At 34.0% G+C, this 22,525-nt stretch overlaps 1 protein-coding gene across 7 annotated transcripts in view; it reads right to left on the bottom strand.

The window, feature by feature from the left end:
* GRIK2 (glutamate ionotropic receptor kainate type subunit 2) overlaps positions 1 to 22,525 on the bottom strand; it is a 676,376-nt gene that overhangs the window by 532,131 nt on the left and 121,720 nt on the right. The window lies entirely within an intron of this gene.

Raw genomic sequence — 22,525 nt, 5'->3', positions numbered from 1 at the left:
CTCCATCATATTTCGGAATACTTCTTGCAAACAATACTATGCAGATGGTTTTAGGAAAATTTTAGTATGATAGGCATGTGCTAATAAATATCTGCTCACAGCAAGGTATTACCTCTAGCTTTATTGAATTGCTTTGTTTGATGGCAGTGGCATATGTAAAACAGTCCACTCGAAAATAGGAGTCTTAGAATTCCTCTCCAGCTGCATCATTAATGATTTGTAGAGGTCATCTAATGACTCTAGTCATGTTTCTTCAATTAAATAGAAAACTAGAGAAACTATTGATAGTTCTCATAAGTTCATAGGACAATTTGAAATCCTCTCACATCATTTCATCTTGCCAATAATATTACCTTCTCTTTGTAGCACAGATGCCCATCTGGCCACAAACACTGGAACATAGATAAATAACTTAAAAAAGCCATTGCTTTAGCCTCTGTCTCCCCCCAACATATAATCTCCCTGATTTGCTTAAACACACACACACACACACACACGCACACACACACAAACACACACACACAAACACACACACATTCTACTCTTATTTTGGGTACATAAAACAACTTATTAAAATGTTGATTAGTTTTCCATCTACTGGCTTTTGAGGAAATAACAATGAGCCCATCTGGCTGGAACCAATACTCATTAAGCAAAATAAAGTTGTTTCAGTTGATTTGTCAACAATATGGGAAAAATACAATTTCCTTTTCAGTGTTTATTGAAAGAATAATATTTAATATGAATTCATATTTGATATGATTTTCCAATAACAAGGAACCAACAAGGAGATCCAAGAGTCCTCCACGGGAATAAATAGATCAGTTTCAGGAGCACTTTAACTTCTCCGGCCTGTTTGGATATTGCTTCTAGGTCTATTAGAATAATATACTAAACATTACTCCAGAAAACTAAAACAGCTAGCATACCTCAAAGTATTTTGACCATTTCTACAAGAAACCAACACCATACCACTTGGTTCAAAAGCCATACATTTAGAATTTTTATCTTTTATTCCTAATGAAGATAAAAATTATAAACACAATATTTATGGGTAATATTAAGCTCATTTGGATTGCAATAATGGGACATTGATTAAAACTAGAATAAATTTGACCTTTTGACTAAGAATTATTATCCATTGGAAGAATCTAGCTGAATGTGTATGAACAACCTCACTGAAGGAAAATTTTGATAACCATATCAATAATCTGATTATAATCCAAAATAAGTTGGTAAATATTTATCTAAAAATATAAAAGGCAATTTTGCAACCAGAAGTAAAATCACATTTTTTTCAAATACTACTTTTATATTTTATTGTGTATCTCTCTATCTAAGTTTTTGAAACTTTAGCCTGGGTATAATTTTTACTATAAGTCTTAAAACGTAAAATAAAGCAGAACAAACCTAATAGCAATAAGATAATTATAATCAAAGAAATGTAATCCTTGTTAATGTCTTTTCTAAGTCTTTTGCTTTTTGTGTGGTCCTACCCCTTATACCCCAACTCTTAGATTTTGTGTCTGGAGAAAACTGAATGTGTAGATTTCCTTCAGATAAAACCTAACATATAGGGTGAATTAGAAGATAAGCATGCTGGAACAAAAAAAAGAGATACGCCTTAAATCATTCTTGAAAATTGCATACTTTTTTTCTGGTTTAATAGCCTTCTATCTAAGACGCTGTAGAAACCAAGTCATCTCTGACGTACAACATGAATAGAGTATGTTGAAGCAATGTACATCATCCCTGAACGCTTTTTATTATTAGAAATAGTGGGGCTTCAAAAGCAAGTTCACACACATACACAAAAAAACTTTTTTATCCTTTCAAAATGTCAAAGAAACAAATGGGAAATTGAATTAATAAAAGGTAATCAGTGTAATAATCTCAGATGACTGTGAAATTATTGTTTGTCCCTCAAGATTTCCTATCTGCTACCATAAAAGTAGGAAGAATTAAGTTCATCAATTTAATGAGATTTTAAAAAACGTTAGAACCTGCTATCAGGCTATATACAGTATCTCTGAAGCATGGCTTGCTAATTGGTTTGATGTTTTGTTTAAACATTAAGGTGTGTGTGACCAAAACATTTGCACAATACTTCGTTTAGGTGCTTACTGTCATTAAAAGCAGCATTTTGCAGCAACGAGATGTTCTGTCTTCATAAAATATGTCAACATAATGAAAAAAAGGGAAAAATCACAGCAAGTGAATTGTTCAACATAACTCATCCATATCATATATAATTATAATACAACAATTGCTCCTTAAGTAGGAAAGAAATCAACAATTGTACAATGTGGCTTTTTAAATTTTTCATACTAGAGTTAATTCAGTGGGGGGAAAGAGGATGTGAGCAGATATATTAACAACTGAAATAAGAGCATTGGTAATTGTTTGATTACCACTTTAATTAAAAAATGATCAGCCATTTGTTATTCCCGATTTCCCAAACAAAGCCAACCTGTGATACAGTTCCCTAGCCTCTACTTTATTTACATTGAAAACAAAAAGTTATCTAACATGGACAGGAAAAGAATTATGCCTTAGATCAAAAAGTGAATTTTCATTTTCATGTGGTACAACCAAGCAGTTATATTCTGTTAGTTGACAAGTACGATATTGCTACCATACTGATGTAATCTCAGTTTAAGTCCAATATTTCATGAATGTTTCTCATTTCTAGCCAAGATTTAGAGATATCAACAGTAAACACATCATGCCTTTATAGAGGTTTTCGTTCCCCTCTGACACACCATTTTAGTGATACATTTTGTTACATTAATAGAATTCTGTTTTTTTTCACAAGACTGAAGCAATACCTAGTCATTTTCAAAGAAAAATCATACTTTTTGCTACTTGTAGAGAGTGTAGGGTATTATGCCACAAAATGAAACTACTTTGCTTTTAGTCATAAGCAATACGTTAATGATGTAGCACAGAGCTCAGCAAAATAATGTCAAACTAATCTGCAATCTGCCCAGAAAAAATGAAATGTCAGCCAGTTCTACCAAATGGCAAATGGCTTTGCTGTTCAAGTACACGGCTTATAAACCTACTGGTTTAGAGTAAGAAAAAAAAAGAGGAAAGAAAAATCAAAAGCTTTGAAAAAAAAAGTCATTATGATGGTGAACTTTTATTCTCTGTCAGAGAAAAATACTAAGATTTTGTTGATGGCGTTTTAGTTGGTGAGTTTTGTTGTTTTAGTGCAATTAGAATGATTCATTTCGTAGCTCAAAGATATGCTACCATTTTTGAGGGTTTATAGGATAATATGCTTCAAAGGAATTATACATAGACTGTCTTCCTCAAACTTTGTTAAAAATAGCCCTTATAACTAAAACCACTAAGTGGAATTTTGTACATATAGTCATCAATCTGTGCCAATGTTCACAAGAGTTTCCACAGATTGCATTAGGAATGCATCTCACATAAAAGACTAGCAAAACAACCAGGTTCCTTTAGATCATTTGGGCTGACTTTGAAACCACTTATCACAATAATCAGATGTAGACATAATATTCTGTGGGTAAGAAAACAAAAATAGTGTATTTAGAAACAGCATAACTTAAAAAGTTATTTACTTCCTCAAAAATCTAAACACCACAAATTGGCTGAAGCTTTTCTGTATTAAAGCATAAAATGAAAACATTGAATACTGTTTTTTAATACCAGTGTCTAGTCAGCAATGTCAAACAAATCTCATGCCAGTCATTCATAATAGGAGATGCATAGTTGCAAGGATCTGTCTACTGAAAGCAGACTAAGGCTAGAAATACCACTAAAATGTATATTTCAAAAAAAAAAAATAAAACTATGTGTATCACAAATGCTGCTTCTGATTAACTTAATCCATAACTTTAGTGATTGAGGAAAATATCTGTATTATCTTGGCCTGCTTGCGATGCTTTTGTAAGTATTGCTTCTCAAATCTGTATTTTTTCCCCTTAATGTCAATGAGGCATGAAGGTATGAAAGGAAAGAGGGTGTATGATACTCAAAATCAGAAATTCACAGCTAGAAAAAGACAAATGCAAAATAAATATGAAATGTTATAAAGCTATATTCAATCAATTCCAGTAACAGCATACCTGGATAGTCATGGATGGTATTTTATTCTGAAGGCAGATGTTTAATTTCCTTCATAATGAAAATAAGTGGTTCAATGGCTGTCGCATAGTAAAATCACTGAACTCTTGTACCTAGGCACTTACATTCAAACCCAGAGCACGATTCACATTGTCTCTGCACTGCCCTATCAGCATGACTGGCCTAAGGCATTGTCAGCATGGAAGGTGTGATAGCCTCCCATGACATCTCAGCTACATCAAAAGACCATTTAAAATTTCTGAACAGGCTTGCCTTCTCTGAATAGTTTTGTAGATTAAAAATCCTCTCATAGGCACTATGATACCTTACAAAGGACATCAGAGGGAGGGTACAACAAAGTGTGAAAAAAAATCTTTCTCCCAAACTTGACTCATGCCTCTTTTGCAGCCCACAAGTTAACTGATTTTAAATTTCTATTTTTTTCTCTGATATACATCAATGCTTTTTTTTGTTCTAATTGATACATTAATCCCTATACTGTTATTTATGCTTGTACACTTGTATTACCCCTTCTTAATTGCACTTCTTGGAGACTTTCTCACTTCTTGTAGTCAGGTAAACTTAATCCAACTAAAGCATCACTTCCCAAAGGGCATTTATTTTAAGGAAATAGGAAGAGCATCCCCTGCACAAGAGATCTAAAAGTCAAAGTGCTTATCATGGTATTTAAAAACCTCTATAAACTGGCCTCAAAGTAGTTTCACAGTCTGATTATAGATGATAAGCATGCTAAAAGCTAAGGATGAATAGAACCTATGTTGATAATGTCATGGAAAAGTTGGAGATAAGTTGAACCTAATTGTTCATTTTGTTTTAAATATAAATTTCCTCAACTTATTTATTTTAGCCTCCCTTCTGTGTCTTTTTCATCCTTTCTTTTCCTCATATCCCTTTCCTCTATGTAAATATATTGAATGATTCTATCTGCACAGCACTAAAGATATAAAAATGTGTAAGACAAAGTCCTTTCTGTTTTCATCTTAATTCTTTGTTGTCTTCTCACTTCTTTAAACTCAAGTCTGCATTTTTGCATTGGTTTATTTCCAATTTTCCATATACTTCTTTAGGTCTTCTAAGATCTCTTTAGGACTCTGAGATTCTTTTTAAGATTCCATTATATATATATACATATATGTATGTGTGTGTGTATGTATTCCATCATAACATATATTTTACCACATTTACTAAAACTGACTCTTTAGTATCTTATTCATTAAACTTCGAAATCTGTCCCTATTCCCAGCTCTTTCCTAAAAGTGTTATATTAAGGACACAAATAAAACTTTAAAAAAAAAAAAGGTCTCCCCAGACATCATTCTTTTATGCAAAAGGTGATAAATATTTATTATATGTTTGCTATCTGCACCTGGTGCAGGACTAAAAATAACTAAGTCTCTATTCTATCGGAATTTATAGTATAATTTTCTGTTCCACAGGCATGTACATGCAATAATGTATAATGGAAACAACACATGGCAAAAGGTACATAAGAGGAGTGATCAGACCTATCAGGTGATGTTAGAAAATGTTACTCAGATAAGAATGTTAACTGAGCTTGTTCTAAAGATGAATGGGAATTCTTCAGAATAGAAGAAAGAGCATTATAGAGAAAGGAAGTAACCAGCTTCAAAACAGCATGGAGTGTTTGAGGAGCTGTGATTAGGTGAATGTAGTTGGAGCAGTAAGTGGAAGAGCATTGAAATTAGATAGATAGACCAAAACACAAACGGCACCCCACCACAGAAAAGAGTATGATTTGTAACCTGAGAAATTGAGAGTCTTTGCAGCATTTGTTAAAGAGAAAAATAAAAACAATACTTAGGTTTTATAAAGACAATTTTGTTTTCTAATGGGCTTTGGGATATAGATAAAACTGGAGCCAAGAAGACAACTTGGTAAGTTATTGCAATGTTCCAAGAGCAATTATGAGACCTGGAATCAACGAGTAGCAGTAGGAGATCATGGGGGCAGAATGAGGTATCCACTTGTGAGATGTTCAGGAAGTAAATCTGATAGAACAAGGATCAGATTTAGGACACGAGGATAGCTCAACATTCAGATTTCTGATAGCCTGGATAATGGTGCTATTAACCAAGATAGGGCTTAGGGAGGAGAAACAGACTGCATGTGGAGAGGCATGATGCATTCAGTGTCATAATCCTTGATTTAAGGGAACTATTCATAATGCCATTTGGCTTATCTGTAATACAAAAAAGAGACTGCCCTTTCATTTGGAAGTCTCTGGTAATAGGTTATAAACCTATATACCTATATCCACATAGGTGGATATCTCAAGCAGGAGAAGGAGGTTCTATTGTAATTATACAGTCTCCTTTGAGGACTTCAACTACCTTATCTTCTATAACAACTTCTAGAAAGACTCTCAAATATATGTTACTTGTCACTTTTCTTTTTCATTTATTCATTTAAACAATTTTGAGCGCCTATAATCAGTACCAGTTATATATACATAGCCATATATATGTATGCCTATGTATACGTATATACGATGAGACCTGGTCCTTTTCTTTTGGAGGAAAACAATAAAAGCAAATAAAATTTTGTAAATTCTATATTAGAAGTATGTATAATTATATGGGACTATGGAGGAGTCTTCAATTTTGACTAAAGGAAAAGATGGGACTTGACAGAGCTCTTGATCCGTATTTCTAATGGGTTTATCAGATATCCTGGGATACTCTATGGCACTTCAAACTGATAAGTCTAAAACCAACTGAAGCTTTAACTGTATAACTTTTGATAAATTGCTTAACCTCAGTTTTGTTTTCCTACATACAATGAAATAAGAGGAATAAAAATGATCACTTTCAGATCTCACATTCCGATTCTCTGAACCTTTATCACTAATGTGTAGCTCTTTTGAAATTGCTTTATTTAAGCTAATGCTACCAGTATTCGTCAATGGCTCTTTCCTCCCCTTTGCCTTCCTTACCCTTTCAGTCTGTAAGTTCTGTTCATTCTCCCTCCAAAAAAACTTATGGTGTCTCTGCTGCACTTTCATTCCTGATGCTACTGTCAAATTCCATGTCATGTTTGCCTCTGTAGATTATTGCAGTAACCTCTTAAATGTCATCCATAATTCCAGTGTCAGTCACCAAAAATTTCTTCTAAAGGTTGTTTCCAGAAAAACTTCTAAATAAGGGCTTCTCAGTAATCATTACTCATTCAAAAACTGCAACTGCCCCCATCCATACTTGCCTATTAGATAAAGCCAAATTTGTATTCTTCAAGGTTTTCCAGGATCTGCCAACAACTAGTTTCCAACTTTATTTCATCCATATGTATCCACCTTATTTTTATCTCATTTCTGCTTCCACCAACTAGATTATTTTCGTGAATACATAACCTATACATAGCTATAATTTCCTTCTAATTGTTATGTTTTTCACTAATGTATCTGTTTAAATATTGTTCAGAATGTTTTTTGACATGGCTTTTAAAATACTTTGTTTCTTTTATAAAATTGATTCATAGTCGCTGTAAATGACTCAAACAGAAAAATGCAAAGAATAGGTAAAACTCATTTGAAATTTTACAATTCAAACTAAGACAATTCTCTAGATTTAAATATATGCAAACAATTATATACAAATAATTCATACTTTATAACTTTTGTTGCTTATCTTGCTCTCTTTAATGCACCAGCATGTTGCAGTTATCCAGGTTTAAAAAATGTTATTTGAATCATCATTTTACTTCCACATATTCCACTGTATATAGACTCAATATGTAGTCAGCATGTACCAGAAGAGGATACAGGCTGGCATCTGTCCATCCTAAAAAGTCAAACATCTACTCTGAATTGTCAGTGTATACATTATACTGGCTGTTACATATTTTTTAATGTCTCTCTAATTTTAGAAGTGCCATTATTTACCTAAGCAGTCTTCCCTTGATGGACAACAAAAGGCAATACTTTAATCAATTGTTAATAAAAATGAATTGTATTTATCCTTTGATATACTGCTAAGACAATTTCTTCTGTTAAACCATTTTCAAATTCCCCAGCTAGAAATAATCTCCATCCTTCTTCTGAATTCCCATAGGACTTTGTCCAGGCCTCTGCATTCATCACTTTCAACCTTGGATTCTAATTATTTCAGTCTTCTTTCCCTAATAGAATATAAGCTCCTTTAGGACACCAACCCTCTTTATAGATTCCACAGTTGTTGGATCGATGCCTCGCACATTATAAACATTCAAAACTTGTTTGTAGAATAAATGGTTGAATTAATGAATATCAAAAAATAGATCAACAGAGCACACTATATCACAAGGGCAATTCAGCATTCAGCATGTTGAAATTATTTGTAAATGCTCAAATAAATTATGTAACTTATCCTAAATTATCTAGTAAGTAAATTAGCAACTCTCAACGACATTAGAAAGAATAAGGAGAAAAACCTATCAAATAGCAATTTCTCATAAAGCAATTAGAGAAGCAATTAATGAGTGGTGAGCCTTGGAGACTATAATGGAATTATCGGGTGAGAATACATTCATTTAGCTATCATTCCTCTAAATGCCAAGCAAAATTCTACAAAGTTCATTCACTGATGATGCTCTGCTGTAGGAAAGCTGAAAAACTGGAGACACATAAACTGAATTGTGTAAACTATATTTTGAGTTTTGCCATGGTCAGTAGATCCCAAAATAATTTTGAAATTTAAAGAGATATAAGAAGTGAATAATAACTCAAGTTCAATTTCTGCAGGCATGGGGTTCCTAGGCACTCCTACTTTTTGTTAATGAGAAAGAAATTCAGCTTAATACTCCATCTGGACCACTTATCAGACAGAGTGAAAGGCATGGATTTTGCCTTTAAGAGAAGATATTCATAGGCTAAGCCATAAGATCACTCAACCTCATATTTTAGCAAGTTGTCTTTTCTCATTGCCAGTTGCATTGTACAGAAAATCCCTTCCTCATCTTAAATTTCTTAACCAAAAGAATGCTATGAGTCTGTAGTATCATCATGTACTGCATATAGGGAATGGAGGAAAAGGACAAAATGAGTTATGGTTTCTGGACATATCATAATTAGGAAGCAGATTTGGTATTTTCTTCTTTAGAATTTCAAGTCAACCATTTAACTAAACCTTATTGTTTTATGTGTGATCTCTGTTCAGTTCTAATTGAACACTAGGACCCTGATATAAGCCGGCTTGCCCGAAAGTGAGCCTGAGCCAGTAACACTTTGAAAACTGCAGAGGTGTGTTTGTTCCCATCCTTATGGATGCTTGTCATTCTATGGTAGAGTCAGGTTTGGCTCAGGAACATCAGAAAATATAATAGAGTTTCACAGTTCCTTACCTGAAATTTGAAAACCTAAAAAGTCTGAACAAAAAAAAATTGCTAGCTCATTTCATAGCAAAACCTAACCTTAATTGACCTGAGCTAATTATAGTTTTTATTCTTCCCACATAATGTAACTATTTTACAGACTTGGCTGTGGAAATATTAAAGTGTTTAAGAGTTTCTACCCCAAATCCTATAGTGGGTGTTATATAATATAGAGTATACATAACTTCTAAAATCTAAAATATTCTTAACTCCAAAACTCATCTGGCCCCACATGTTTTACATGAGTGACTGTGGACCTGTAATGATAATAGCTAATATTTACTAGATGCTTGCTTAGTGCCAGCACCAGTCTAAGCACTCTGTATTAATTAGCTAACTCAAGATTTAATTCTTCTTTGCAAGAACTCTATGATTATACACATCTTACAGTTGAAGAAATTGAGTTAAAGTAGGTTCAGCAACTCACACAGCACACTAAGTGGTAAAGCTGGGATATGAACCCAGCAGTCCTATGCCATAGCCCACAGACCCTACAAATCCATGCCACCCCTCCATGATTTGTTGGAACACATCTGTCCTTTGGAATAATTAACCACTCAAGAATTAACTATTTTCCTTGGTCTACAAGGAAAAATAAAAAACAAAATCATCCACCAGTTCTCTCTCTTGCCAAAATTTTCTTAGAGAAAAAGAGTGGATAGATAAGAAAAGAACACCTATTTTCCTATTATTTTCCAGATAATTCTACTGGGTTGTGCATACTAGACTGTACCTCTAAAGTATAGCCCTTGAACAAGCTCTTAAGATGACCACTTCTGGCATCTTCTGATGAGATCTGAAAAACACCAGAAAAACCACTGTGCACAGCTTGCTACAACCCACAAAGCCAAGGAAACAAACAGGTGAGGCTGACATTTATCAAAATCACAAAGTCGAGAAGTGGTTGACATGTTCGGAAATAAAAACAATTTCAAACTACATCACTTCCGTTTTTAACTGAAAATTGACACTTTAATTTTAGTTCCAAATATCTCATGATCATAATATATCTGCCTTGATAAGAGGTATCTCAGACTGTCCTTTTTTGGTGAGCTTTGGGGGATCCTGAAACCTCCTAATCATTGTTATGAGACCTCCTTTCTTTTGTTTCTGAAGGAAGTAAAGGCTATGGGCCTCTAATCTGAAAATTGATTGGTGGAATTTGATTATGATACAGCAGTTTTCTGTGTTTTAGCAAGCACTTTAGGAAAAAAGAATAATAACATAGCAGTTTTCATTTGGATGACAGTACTGTGTTTAAACATGTGACTGATCTAGAGTTAACTTTTCTAAAAGGATGAGCAGATTGTTTTTCCTGCAGTGGGGCAGCAGGGTTTGAGACTCAGATCTCCCTGCAACCTTTAATATGATCAGATGCCTAGTGTTTATAATCTGTCCACTCTCTGAAAGGGTAGGGCCAGACTTTGCTGGAAGCAACAATAAAAGGACATGAAAACATTCATTCTGGAATAGCCTAAGGGTATGGGAGACAGGCCATGTCTGTGACACTGATGTACACCCGTTGGAACCTGCTAGGAGAAGTGTTGCCTCCTCTGAACCCCCGGAGAGGATTCAGCTTTCTACAGGACCCATGGTGTGCATCTGTTGGAACCTGGTAGAAGTGTTGCCTCCTCCGAACCCCGGGAGAGTATTCCGCTTTCTATGGGGCCCATGGGCTAAGGGGGTGATTCCACTTACTTCTTTGTATCAGTTTATGCTACAACCTGTGTACAGAGATGAGAACTACAACCTGTAGCTTCCTTTTTTGACTGGTGATCATATCCTTTCTTTCCCTCTGTATGGTAAGAAGTGACAGGCAGCATTAAGCTCTACCACCCTTCCTTATAGCATCACCCATTTAGAGGAAAATGAAACTTCATCAGCTACACAACTGAAGTTAGAAAATTAGTGCTAACCAATATATCAGCCCTTAATTAATCTGCCACATTTAAGGTGAGAGAATATAATAAACCAGCTACATTTTGTGATTTTTGATTACCCAACAAGTTATCTCAGCAAAGGTATTAAAACTAATTTATGTTTATTTTTTCTAGTTTAACATTAAAAAATAAGCAAATGCATATAGTTTTCTAAATATACTCTAATTATTAGCAATTCTAGCCTAACTCTCCCATCCAATTTCTATTTTTAAAAATTCTATCAATTAGTATCAGGTTTTAAAAGTCCTAGAGTTGCCAAATCATGAATTGTGTTACAAGAGCAAAAACAGAAGCAAATCAATACCCTATTAATAATATTAATAATGATCACAGTGATTAAGGTTTTTTCTTTTCTGAATTGAAGTCAAGGGTGATTGTGAAGGATAACACACAGTGAGCCATCTGCACTGAGGTCGGACAGATAGAGCAGTTGGTCTCAGTATACATCTAGGAATCAATTCTGCTCTGCTGCTCTTTCCAGACATCATTTCAGTCGCATCTTCTGGTTTATCCACGCTGATCTCTATGATCCTGATATATGTTGCTATACTTTACTCCCATTTTATTCTTCACCCTGTCACACCTTCTACAGCACAGGTAGTGTCTGTTTCCTTCCATTTTATTCATCACAGTATACAGTCCTTACAACAGCATTGTACTCAGAAGAGAAAGTAGGAAATTGTGAGCGTGATTAATATGCAAACTGGATAATCCTCCCTCATGTAACAGAATTGACAGCATGTAATTACACATGCACATTATTTTCATAAAGTTGTTCACTCAGGTCATGTTTGAAATTCACAGCGAACTTATTTTTTATAAAGTGGGGGCTGTGAAACAAGGAAGTTTGACTCATCCTAACGCATAAGGAAATTAAAACCCAAGTATAAAACTATATGAATGATTTCAGCAGTTTGTTCTTACCTAAAATTCAAGAATGGGTCCTTTAAATGTATCAGGTGTTTGAAAATAAGGAGAGAATTGTTAACTAAGATCCTATATGTTGCACTGGATGTGTTTTCCCCTATTTTTACTGTTTCCTACACATCTGATATCATAGGACTCAATTTTCCAAAAGGTTAAAAGGTTATAATTTGTTTCCATTACCAAGAACTCACACACCACCATAATCATCAGAATACTGAAACCTTAGATTCCGTAACTCACATAGCTGTCTTAACCCATACAGCTGACCACAAATATTAGCCTCCAAGATGAGTATTCATCCTACTGATAATATAGATCCCTCCTAAACATAAACTATCATTTTTGTGTAATTGAATATGTGAGAAAGAGCAGTTAAAGTGTGTTCTTCTTAGACTAACATTTAAATGTATGTTTGCATAAGCTTCTTTAATGTAACTTCTCATCTGCTTTATATCAAACTATATCACTTCAGTTCTTAAAAGCCTATCAATAATTTGGTATCATATAGACAAAAACTCCAATTAGACTGGTGAGTTGAATGTTTCATACTGCTTTCAAGAACACGCAAGTGGGGGCTCAGTGTGGTGGCTCACACCTGTAATCTCAGCACTTTGGGAGGCCGAGGTGGGTAGATCGCCTGAAGTCAGGAGTTCGAGACCAGCTTGGCCAACATGGGGAAACCCCATCTCTACTAAAAATACAAAAAATTAGCCAGGCGTAGTGTCAGGTGCCTGTAATCCCAGCTACTCGGAAGTCTGAGGTTGGAGAATCGTTTGAACCCAGGAGGCGGAAGTTGCAGTGAGCCAAGATCACGCCATTGCACTCCAGCCTGGGCAACAAGAGCGAAACTCCACCTCAAAGAAAAAAGAAGAAAAAAAAAAAAAAAACGAACATGCAAGTCTTAAGTTTCTTTCTGACTAATGTGAGGAGGAATCAATTTGTAAAATATTGTGGAGCAAGGTGATCAAATGTTAGCCAAACAATTAGCAGTCTACTTACTGTCTACTATTTGGGCATCACACTATGTGGGCCTTGGGTTTCTTCTACATATCTATTAAATCTCATAGTCTTAGATTTAAAGGAGAAAGACAGAGAGTGAACTAGAAGCACAATGTGTCAGACACACCTATAGTGAATAAACTTGAGTTGTATCTTAATTTTCTAACACCAACTCCCTTAGAAATTATATATCTGTGATTGATATATATATATATATATAAAATGGGGCATTGACTATATTTCTACTGTTGGTCAGGATAGACTCGAATATGCTATGGTAACAATAAAACCCAAAAACCAGTGGTTTTAGGCAAAAGTGGTTTATTTCTTACTCATGCTGCAACACTTCTGATTCATATTGGCAAGGATCTATGTTGATGGATTCCCTATCATGTTATGACACCCTTTCTCAACATAAAGCTTCAAATTTATTGAAGATGTGAGAAGGAATTATGGAAAAATCAAGTATAAAATTCAAGCTTCTTTCATAATTTGTCCCAGAAACAATAAACACCATTATCAAACAGAGCTCATTGATCTGAATTAGTCACATGACCCTACCTAGCATAAAAAGACCTAGGAATCAGCTGGGTGTGGTGGCTCACGCCTGTAATCCCAGCACTGTGGGAGGCCAAGGCGGGTGGATCGCTTGAGGTCAGGGGTTCGAGGCCAGCCCGACCAATATGGTGAAACCCCATCTCCACTAAAAAACTATAAAAATTAGCCACACGTGCTGGTGAGCACCTGTAATCCCAGCTATTTGGGAGGCTGAGGCAGTGGAATCGCTTGAACCCAGGAGATGGAGGTTGCAGTGAGCCCAGATAATGCCACTGCATTCTAGCCTAGGCGACAGAGTGAGACTCCATCAAAAAAAAAAAAAAAAAAAGACTTAGGAGTCATTATGTTCTATTTTTGTAGTCAAGGAAAGAGAACTTAGAATGCTGATGGGCACTATTTATGTTTCTACACCTACTTAATCAATGTAGATATAGTAGAAGATCTTTATACTTTCATCAGTTTGGAATGGTCTTCTGCCCTTTTCAATGTGCCCAAGCATTTACGGCCCAGATCAAATGTTACTTCATTCATAAAATTTTCCTGGATATTCCTAGCTTTAAGATACAGTTCATGATCCAGAATTCATAGTCCCAGTGTGTATCCCTTATGCTGTACTTCTACTTCTTCCTTCAACAGTTATATGTACATCTTATCCCTAACAGATAGAGATGGTCATCTCTTTGAGGACAGAGATCATGCCTCATTCCTTTGAATTGTCTTCTCCCATTTTTCCTCCAGCAAATTCCTAGCATCGTCTTTACCATGGTAGGTCTATAATAAGGGTTTTGTTAATTGGGTGAGGGAGGAGGTTGACAAAAATATCATGGAAAAATTATTTCTGGCTGCCAAAAGTCGAAGTTTTCTCTTACTTATACTGAGAGATAATAATTCCCTAAGATGGATTTCCTCAAAATAGGTCAAGCATATAAGATGTTCTAAATATATACTTGATTCATACATTAATAATTTATTTGTTGCATACCATGTGAAAATCATACATGAAACCATGGGAGATCCAAAAGAAATCAACATAAATCCAACTTAAGCATTTAGCACTCTAACTGGAAGATTGCAAGCCATAGAAACTCATTAGTTCATTAATTTAATAAATAGATTAAATATATAACACATATATATTTAATATATAATAAATATATTTGGCTGGTTACTGTTTGCCAGTTAATGTGGACAAAGTGGAGAGAAAAAGCAGATGTAGTCACAGAAGTCATGGAGCCATGGAGCTTACAATGTAGAAGGGGAAAAGTTAGACAAACAATTCATTATAATAATGACTATGAAAAAGAAAGAACACGTGGTTATGAGAGCATCTGGAGAAGGCTGAGGGCAGAACAGAGATCAAAAAAAGACAAGAAAATGTTTCATTTATGCAAGGTTTAGTGGACATGACTAATGCCCACCAACCTTCTTCTTCTTGAATACTTGGGCAAATTATACTTCCAGAAATAAGTACTTTAAAAGTGTTGCATGATTTTTCATGCTGTCTTTCTCTGTGCAGCTATTGAAGGGTTACATGTTAAGATGGAAGTATCACAAGATGGAACAACTGGAAAGCGACACATTAATGACAGCAGTTCATGACAGACAGACATGTCAATCCACGATAGGCTTGTGTGAATGAGAATAAAAAGCTTGTTATGCCAAGTCACTAAGATTTAGTCTTTTTGTTTTAATGCATCATAACATAACCTATCTGGATTAATACACAGAGACTCAAAAGGAGAAACAGTGATTAGCTAAATGAAAAGAGCAGGAAAGGGGAGAAGAGCTGCTGTGTTAAGCAAAAGAATCAACTGTGACAAAGGCCTTGGGTCAGAGATAACAGGTGCTTTTGAGAAACTGAGTAGATTTAACTTCATGATTTAAATTTCTGCTAAAGCATGTAAGTAACGAGTTTCTAGAAATTTTGTTCAAAGTGGTCTTTTAGCCCTAAAATTTTGATAACTGCTAAAGAGATGCAAGGTATATATTGAATGTACAGTTATGCAACTTAAGGAGAAAGTATCTCCATAATACCTTCAAAATATTCATTAAAAACAAATGCCTGAAATAATTACTAATTTCTTTAAATAGAAAAACTTGCTTACATTAAATATCTTGCTTTACTGTTTAGATAATAAACTAAATCCAAACAATGCATTTTTCTGGAAGATTAAACATTCTTATTTTATACATAAATAAAATAAAGCTGAACTTTTTCTATTTGGTTATTTCCTATCTTCTGAGTGCATAAACCAGAAAAATATAAGGGGGAAGGAACAGACATTTTACACCAATGTACAACCACAACTTAATTAAAAATAAATCTAATTTACTATTAAGAAAACTAGACAACAATTATCCTCTGCATAATTGTTTTAAAGTAAAAAGTATCTTATTTTACTTTATTTCATATTATTATTAAAAAAATTTTACGCTATTCAAATTCTGATAAACACTAGCAATGTTTTACAAATTTTTAAATCTTGAACAAAAGAAATTTTAAAACTATAATTATTGTGGAAACAGATTAATGTTGCCAATTAATATAGTACAAGATTTGAGAACAGACATAACAAAAGACCACAAATGAAGATATGCATGAACATGCTTTAAATGGTTAATTTCTGAAACAAATAATTTCAAAAATAATACTTTTTGAAACATAGAAAAAATATTGTAAGTATGGATTAGCTTATAAAGTTAATTGTCTTAATAGTTTTATTTTCAATAAATCTCAATAAATAGACCTGCTATTAAAACACAATACAAAGTCTATTAAAGCACATTAAGGTTTACTATATACAATAGTTTTCTTTTTCCCGCAAAAATAAATGTGGAAATTCCAGGTACTAGAAATTAAGATTGACATTTATCTTTGAAACTGTAATTTTTATGCTTTCATTTCTTTAGAGAAACTATAGAAAATGGTTACAAACTTTTTAATCTGGAAGTTCTAATTTTTGAAAACTCATATACATAATTAGGTAAATAACGAAAAACTGGCATGGTCAAATATTACACATTTGCTTCTTTTGCTCGACCAACTAATTTTCTTTTAAATGTTTTTTTAACCTGGATATTCAACTTCCTATGTATAAAAAATATAATATACAAATGCATATATAAATTAGCAATTTTGAAAACTTTGAGTTGAATATATTTTCCATGAAAACAATCATACATAAAATTGACTTTTTTCTCTGAGACCGCAAGACATTGCTCTGCATCATGGCACTGCAATCATGTCATGTGCCATTGCATAGCATTGTATTATAGAGAATATTTAGGAGGTTAGGAGGTTGTGTTATGTTCTACTAAATCTATGTCATCACTTGGCTTTTGTTTGTAGTTTTAAAATTCTTCAGATTTTCTGCTATTTTCTCAGAAAGAAGTCGCCGCACAATGCCAAATGAAACTGGATACCAGATAAACAAGAAGTTCTTGGTCAGTTTACTGCATTCAATGAGATTTGAGAGCTTTAAAAACATAAAACAACCAATGTTTTGATTGTTCTCTATTCCTTATATGTCTTTTACTTCCTCTTCTCATTTGGATATCCAACACCTAAAATATTGAATGCATAATGGCTGTTTATTAATAGCTACTCTGTCCTCTTTATATATTACATATTATTTCTGAGGCTTACTGAAATAATATATAATGTAATATATAATGTAATATATATTGTAATATATAATGTAATACTTCAGGTATTAGCCTAATGCATGAAAGAAAAAACAAATAATAAAGACATTCAAAATTAAGGAAGAAATTTTCCTAAGATAATAGCAGTTAACTAATACATTTAAGAAAAAGTTTGAAAAAAATCCTTTAGAATTTTGTGCAATGAAAAATATTTCTCTTCCATTTATAATAAAAAGAAGATTTATCATGTAATTGATTATTCCATACACTATCATTATTTACAGTTTATTAATAAGAATGGACTAAAAATGTGAAAAAATAATTTTGGAATGCCCTTAGGGTCTTTGTGATTTTGAGACAATCTATGTCTTCCAGTCAATGTCTTAAGATAGATGTCCTTCTCATGTATCCTTCTGTGGAGAGTGGATAGATTAGCTTGCTTCACAAACCATGCCTTAATCTCAATTCTTACTGATTATATGGTAAAAGAAAACAAATAGGCAAGTCATCAAAACTTCTCTGTATGTATCCTACCCATGTTGGAAACCATAAAATTATTTAACAGAGTCAAATGTGAAGGTGCAGATACTCAGTTTAACTGGTTCCACCTCCAACCAAGAGAAGTTCAGAATTTACATAGTCTGATTTTTTTGTATGCATATGTACAGTTACAATTTAAGTACCGGCAATGGTTCATAATTTCTCCTATTTTTATATCCATCAAAAACTCAATCAAATAATGTAAATTTCAGTACAATGGGGAAAAAAAATCCCACTTTCTCTCAAGATTTATAAGATATTTTGTATTCTGGGACTTAATTAGAAAATATTCTGGTCACAATAAAACAACGTAGCTAAATTTCAGGCTCTAAAATGGGTTTACCAATCTCAAACTTTCACTGGCAGTGTGACTCAAGGAACACTGTGAAATCTGTCTCTTCATGTCAATAAAAAAGAAAAATAGTAGTATTCATATCATGGGTTGGTTTTGTGAAATGAAATAATGTAATAAAGTACTTAGAACCCTGCCTGAGATAGAGTAGTATCACCAGCGCAAACACACACACACACACACACACACACACACACACACACACACACACGTTTAACTCCGCAATGCGCCATTAGGGCTGCTTTATGTTCCACCCTCTCCATGAATCTTTTTCCAAACTTTCTAGCCTCTGTAAATATGTCTCTACTCTTCATTTATATAGCACATATTTGTGCATGCTAGTATACCCGAAATTGTAGTAAGGAAATGTTGTGGAAGATATTAAATGGCAGGCTGACGAGATTATTCTTAGTTCAGAGGCAAGGCTTAGCCATTAAAATCTTTTGAACAAGAGTAAATTCTAGAAGTGTAATTCCTAAGCTAAAGAGCATTTATATTTTATACTCTTACATGTCTTGCCAAGTTTTCCTCCTGAAAGTTCTAACAGTCTCGACTGGAATCAATAATGCATCTATAAATGTAACACTTGTTTAAAAATCAGCATTTAGTCTTAAAAAGCAAGCTTTTTCCACCCTTTAAGGGGACACTCTGTTGGGTCAGATTCTAAATCAAGGAGCACTTCCTAAAGTGGGTTCCTGTAGGAGATATTCAGGACATCGACCAAATAAGCTTGGAAAATTGCTTAGTCAAGTAACTTTTATAGGCATCTTTATTGCAGGCCTCCTCAGACCCCTTAATATGCTAGAGTATGCTGTAAATCTTTAAAAGAGCTATATAGTGGGCCACGTTTCTCAAACACATTTGGCTGTAGAATCTTTTTCCCAGATCATTTCAAAGAAATAATGTTTCATAGAATACACTGGGACATGCTATTTGGTACCTTTAATTTTGTCACTTACTCATACATCAGCTAATATTACTATCTGTTTCACATAGAAAATTGATTGCCTCTCCAATATGATGGGAAGCCACTTACCTTGTCTTACTTATTCTGCGTAACAACTAGCACAGTATACACTGCAGAAAAGGTGTACAATAAATCTTTGCTGATTAGCTGACAGATTACACCTTTAAAAAAAGAAAATTATATATGCAAGAAGTTCAGAGTACATAAGAAAGTCAGCCATTTTCATCTTTTTAACTAAGGAAAGTACTTTTTGCTTTTATCACACACCGAAGTGTCATTAAATGCTATAATACATTAACAGTGACTGTTTTTCTCTCTAACTAAAATTAAGCAAACACTTGCCATAGCACTTTTTTTTAACTTTATTGCCAACATATTAGTCTTAAACAAAACGCATTCCAATAAATGCTCCATCTTACAATTTTAATAACTCAAAAACACTTGGGGTCTCAAAACATTCATAATAGCTTATTTGTGAGAGATAAAAGTTATTTTTCATGTTTAAAAAAGATTAGCTTTAAGTTGGAAAGGCTGCAATGAAATTATTCACATAATGGTATGGTGGTTAACAGACACCAAGGAGTCAATTCAATTCATAAGTATGAGAGCTGTAAAAGACCATAGGGTTAGTATGTGCTATGACTACCAAGACCAACATTGACTCTTTCCCTAAACATCTTTTAAAATACCGTTAGCCTAATAAGCTTCTTTATTACATAGCCAAATATTGCTTGAGGAACTGAAAGGCAATGAGTCAAATCACAACTGTTGTTGCACACCACTGTAGAAGAAACAAATATTACTAAATATCTGCTTAGAAGGCAACACATTTTCAGTAATCAAAGCAGAGGCCTAAAAGTCAAATATGTTTTTGCCTACTTGTCTATTGCCTGATGGAAGCACATTATGCTGCTTGTTTTAAAGTACAGTATATCTCTAGTTGGGGACCTTTTGTGCAATGCTTAAATTTCCTACACAAGATAAATACTATATTTATTATTTTAGTAAAAGCTAAAAAAAAATTAATTATCTCAAATGTTCTTCTTCTGTAAGATACAGGTAAAAATTCTTGATCGTCTACTGTGAGGACCACCGCATTTCACAGATGTCTCTATAGTCTACGGTCCTTCGCTCTACCAGCTGAGCTATCAAAGGGTGCAGGAGCACCCCATTTCAAACAATATAATTCGCTTAACACTTAACCTCCTTTCTCAGTGTGAAAACAGAGACTTATGCAAGATAAGTGACTTTCTTAAAGTTTTACAGCAAGTAAGTGACAAGTCTGGGTTTCAGGTTCAGAGGTGGCCTGGTTTTAAGCCTGTCTTTTTTCTTCCTCTACAACATGCTGGCTGTCCTTCACATTTTTATGCCCTCCCACAAAGTCTGCCATTTAGCATTATAATGTTTCCTATTAAATATGAAGATTTGTTAAATAAAAAATTAAAAGTGATGAAGATAAGTACCTTAATTTAATGTATTCAATTAGAGCAGAGAACAGAAAACATATCCAGAAAATAAGGCAATAGACTATTGCCTATGTAGTGACCTGAGAATTTGCCCAATTTGCTCCATGAAAGAAGTCTAGCTGGGAATACAAAAATACATACTGTTAATTATCAGTGTCAAAACATAGACTGTGTTTCAGCATATGAATTTTTCCAACATAGTAAAAAGATGTGTTATCACTGAACATATATATATATTAAGGGTTGACAAGGCCAACTTGTTAAACAGATGAGGATATTCAGTTTTTATATACTTGCCTTTTGCTGGGAAGGCAGCCAAATTTCTAACTGAATCTATGAAAGTCTATATTTTATTATAGCTACATGCATATAAATGAACAGTGTATAAATTATAGGCAGTTTCCTTTTAGTTTATTTAAACTGTAAAGGATTACTGTACCATTAAGAAAACATTCTCAGGTCTTAGGTTTAAGTCCTTAATCCATATTTTGAGTTGATTTTTGTATAAGGTGAGAGATGAGGATCCAGTTTCATTCTCCTACATGTGGTTAGCCAATTATCCCAGTATCATTTGTTAAAAAGGGTGCCCTTTCCCCACTTTATGTTTTTGTTTGCTTTGTCAAAGATCAGTTGGCTGTTAAGTACTTGGCTTTCTTTCTGGTTCTCTGTTCTGTTCCATTGGTCTATGTGCCCATTTTTATACCAGTATCACACTCTTTTGGTGACTATGGCCTTATAGAATAGTTTGAAATCTGGTAGTGTGATGTCTCCAGATTTGTTCTTTTTGCTTAGTCTTGCTTTGGCTATGCGGCTTCTTTTTAGGTCCCATATAAATTTTAGAATTGTTTTTTCTAATTCTGTGAAGAATGATGGTGGCATTCTGATGGGGATTGCATTGAATGTGTAGATTGCTTTTGGCAGTATGGTCATTTTCACAATATTGATTCTATCCCTCCATGAGCATGGGATGTGTTTCCATTTGTTTATATCATCTCAACTCAAGATGGATTAAGGACTTAAACCTAAGACTTGAAACTATAAAAGTTCTAGAAGATAACATTGAAAAAACCCTTGCAGACATTGGCTTAGGCAAGGATTTCATGGTCAAGAATCCAAAAGCAAATGCAGTGAAAACAAAGATAAATAGCTGGGACCTAATTAAACTAAAGAGCTTTTGCATGGCAAAAGGAACAGTCAGCAGAGTAAACAGACAACCCACAGAGTGGGAGAAAATCTTCACAATCTGTACCTCTGATAAAGGACTAATATCCATAATCTACAACAAACTCAAACAAATCGGTAAGATAAAAACAAACAATCCCATCAAAAAGTGGGTTAAGGATATGAATAGACAATTCTCAAAAGAAGATGTACAAATGGCCAACAAACATATGAAAAAATGCTCAACATCATTAATAATCAGGGAAATGTAAGTTAAAGCCACAATGGGATACCACCTTATTCCTGCAAGAATGGCCATAATCAAAAATCAATAAACAGTACATGTTGGCGTGGATGTGGTAAACAGGGAACACTTCTACACTGCTGGTGGGAATGTAAACTAGTACAGCCACTATAGAAAACCGTGTGGAGCTTCCTTAAAGAACTAAAAGTAGAACTACTGTTTAATCCAGCAATCCCACTACTGGGT

This window comes from Homo sapiens, chromosome 6 (assembly GCF_000001405.40).
Source record: "Homo sapiens chromosome 6, GRCh38.p14 Primary Assembly".
Taxonomy (NCBI): domain Eukaryota; kingdom Metazoa; phylum Chordata; class Mammalia; order Primates; family Hominidae; genus Homo; species Homo sapiens.
Note: the sequence above shows the minus strand (reverse complement) of the source record. Positions and strands in the feature narration are given on the sequence as shown.